This window comes from Homo sapiens, chromosome X, assembly GCF_000001405.40.
Source record: "Homo sapiens chromosome X, GRCh38.p14 Primary Assembly".
In the NCBI taxonomy this organism is placed as follows: domain Eukaryota; kingdom Metazoa; phylum Chordata; class Mammalia; order Primates; family Hominidae; genus Homo; species Homo sapiens.
This window is the reverse complement of record NC_000023.11, coordinates 124,298,039-124,302,180: the sequence shown is the minus strand read 5'-3', so window position 1 is coordinate 124,302,180 and position 4,142 is coordinate 124,298,039.

Here is a 4,142-nt window from a genome sequence, read left to right as displayed (position 1 = left end):
GAGCAGATATATATATTATATATATATATATACATTTTTTATATACTATTGAAGCCAGGTTAATATTAATTCAAACTTGTTTCTTATAAATTTAACATATTAATTGTTATTGTTAGGAATACTAAGAAGATAACTGAGAAATATACAGAAAAAGAAATGAGAAAGTAATCAAAATGGTACACTAAAAAAATCAACTAAACACACAAGAAGGCAGTAATGGGCCGGGCACAGTGGCTCACCCCTGTAATCCTGGCACTTTGGGAGGCCGAGGCGGGCGGATCACCTGAGATCAGGAGTTCGAGACCAACCTGACAAACATGGTAAAACCCTGTTTCTACTAAAAATGCAATAATTAGCCGGGCGTGGCGGCACGTGCCTGTAATCCCAGCTACTCAGGAGGCTGAGGCAGGGGAATCACTTGAACCCAGGAGGCAGAGGTTACAGTTAGCAGAGATGGTGCCACTGCACTCCAGCCTGGGCAACAGAGCGAAACTCTGTCTCAAAAAAAAAGAAAAAAAAGGTAGTAGTGAAGGAGTTGAGGAACAAATAAGATATAAGATGTATAGAAAACAAATAGCAAAATGACAGAAGTAAGTCCTTCCTCATCAGTAATTACACTACATGCAAAGGGATTATACTTAGCAATTAAAAGACAGGTTGGGAGAATGGAAAGAAACACATGGCCCAAACTATATGCTGTCTGTAAGAGATTTACTTTAGATGCAAAGATATAACTAGGCTGAAAGTGAAAGGATAGTAAAAGATATTCCATGCAAAAAAATATATTCCATGTAAATAGTAACCAAAAGAGAGCTCCAGTAGCTATACAAATATCAGACAAAAGAGTCTTTAAGTCAAAAATTATTATGAGACAAAAAGGGACTTTATATATTGATAAAAAGAGTCAACCTATCAATAAGGTATGACAATTATGAATGTATACGTACCTAACATCAGAGTCCCAAAATATATGAAGCAAAAATTAACAGAATGGAAGAAAAAAATAGTTGTACAATAATAAACTTTTCAATATCCCCCTTCCAATCATGGATAGAACAAGTAGACAAAAGATCGATAAAGATATAGAGGATAACACTATAAACCAACTAGACCTAACAAACCTATATAGAATAATCCATGCAAAAATAGCAGACTATATATTCTTCTCAAGTGCAAGTGGAGTATTCTCCAGAATAAACCATATGGTAGGCTACAAAATAAGTCTCAATGAATGTTAAAATATTAAAACCATACAAAATACCTCCTCTGAGTGCAATAAAATAAACTTAAAAATCAATAACACAAAAAACGTAGAAATTAAACAACACACACTCTCAAATAAACAATAGTAGATGCAAGGAAATAATAAATTTTAAGGCAGATATAAATGAAATAGTATATAAAAAACTATGAAGTAAATCAATAAAACCAAAAGTTTGCTCTTTGAAAAGATCCACAAAATGGACAAACCTTTAGCGACACTGACTAAGAAAGAAGAGAGAAAATAGAAATCACTAAAATCAGAAACGAAAGTAGGCATATGATTACCAATCATACAGGAAAGATGCTCAACATCATTAGTCATTAGGGAAATGCAAATCAAAACCACAATGAAATACCACTTCCCACCCACTAGAATGGCTACAATCAAAAAACGGAAAAGGACATGGAGAAATTAGCACCCTCACTCATTCCCTGGTGGGAAAGAAAATGGTGCATCCACTGTGAAAAACTATTTGGTTGTTCCTCAGTAACGTTGGACACAGAATTATCATATAACCCAGCAATTCCGTTTCTAGGTATACACCCAAGAGAACTAAAAACATATGTTCACACAAAAACTTGTAACAAATCTTCAGAGCAGAATTTTTTTGTAATAGCCAAAAAGTAACAACCCAAATATCCATTAGCTGATGAATGGACAAACAAGATGTGCAATAACCACCCAATAAAACATAATCCAACTACTAAAATCAATAAAGTACTGATACATGTAACAACATGGATGAACTTTGAAACAATATGCTGAGAGAAAGAAGCCAGAAACAAAAGGCCATATATTGTATTCTTCCATTTATATTAAATATTCAGAATAAGCAAGTTCATAGAGACAGAAACAGAATAGTGGTGGCTAAGGTTTGGGAAAGTGAGGAATGGGTAGTGACTGCTTTCATGGGCATGAGGTTTCCATTTCAGGTGATAAAAATGTTCTGGGGCTAAATGAAAGTGATGACTGCACACTGCAAATGTACTCAAATATCACTGACTTGAATACTCAAATGACAAATTTTATGTTGCATGCATTTTAACACAATTTTTTAAACTTTTATTTTAGGTATGGGGTTACATGGGAAGGTTTGTAACATACATAAACTCATAATGGGGGTTTGTTGTACAGATTATGTCATCATCACCCAGGAATTAAGCCCAGTACCCAATAGTTATCTTTTCTGCTCCTCTCCCTCCTCCCACCCTCCACCCTCAAGTAGACACCAGTATCTATTGTTTCCTTGTGTTCATAAATTCTCATCATTTAGCTCCCACTTATAAGTGAGAACATGCAGTATTTGGTTGCCTGTTCCTGCATCAGTTTGCTAAGGATAATGGCTTCCAGCTTCATCCATGTTCCTGCAGAGGTCATAGTCTTATTCTTTTTTATGGCTGCATAGTATTCCATGGTGTATATGTATGGCTGCATAGTATTCCATGGTGTATATGTACCACAGTTTCTTTATCCAATATGGCACTGATGGTTGATTCCATGTCTTCGCTATTGTGAATAGTGCTGCGATGAACATACACGTGCATGTGTGTTTATGGTAGAACAATTTATGCTCTTTTCGGTATATATCCAGTAATGAGATTGCTGGGTCTAATGGTAGTTCTGCTGTTAGGTCTTTGAGGAATCACCACACTGCATTCCAGAGTGGCTGAACTAATTTACACTCCCACCAATAACATATAATTGTTCCCTTTTCTCTGCAACCCCAGTAGCATCTGTTATTTTTTGACTTTTTAATAATAGCCATTCTGACCAGTGTCAGACAGTATCTCATTGTGGTTTTAATTTGCATTACTTTAATGTTCTAATGATATTGGGCATTTTTTCATATGCTTGTCAGCCACATGCATGTCTTCTTTTGAAAAATGTCTGTTCATGTCCTTTGCCTACTTTTTCATGGGTTTTTTTTTTTCTTTCAAATTTAAGTTCCTTATAGATGCTGGATATTAGACCTTTGTCAGTTGCATAGTTTGCAAATACTTTCTCCCATTCTGTAGGTTATCTGTTTACTCTGTTTATATAGTTTCTTTTGCTGTGCAGAAGTACTTTAGTTTAATTAGATCCTATTTGTCAATTTTTGCTTTTGTGGTGATTGCTTTTGGCATCTTCATCATGAAATCTTTGCCTGTTCCTATGTCCAGAATGGTATTACCTAGGTTGTCCTCCAGAGTTTTTACACTTTTGGCTTTTACATTTAAGTCTTCAATTCATCTTGAGTTGATTTTTGTGTATGATATAAGGAAGGGGTCCAGTTTCAATCTTCTGCATATAGCTGGCCAGTTATCCTGCCATGACTTCTTGAATAGGGAGTCCTTTCCCCATTGCTTGTTTTTGTCAGCTTTGTCAAAGATTAGATGGTTGTAAACGTGCAGCCTTATTTCTGGGCTCTCTGTTCTATTCCATTGGTCTACGTGTCGCTTTTGTACCAGTACCATGCTGTTTTGGTTACTGTAGCCCTGTAGAATAGTTTGAAGTCGGGAAGCATGATGTCTCCACCTTTGTTTTGGTTTTCGTTTTGTTTGTTTGTTTTTTGTGTTTTTTTTTTTTGTTGTTGTTTTTTTTTATTTTTGCTTAGGATTACCTTGGCTATTTGGGATCATTTTTGGTTCCATATGAATGTGAAAATGATTTTTTCTAGTTCTGTGAAGAATGTCATTGGTTGTTTGACAGGAATGGCATTGAATTGATAAATTGCTTTGGGTAGTATGGCCATTTTAATGATATTTTTTCTTTCTAACCATGAGCATGGAATGTTTGGCCATTTCTTTGTGTCATCTCTGATTTCTTTCAGCAGTGTTCTGTAATTCTCATTGTAGAGATCTTTCAGCTCCCTAGTTACCTGTATTCCTAGGTATTTTAT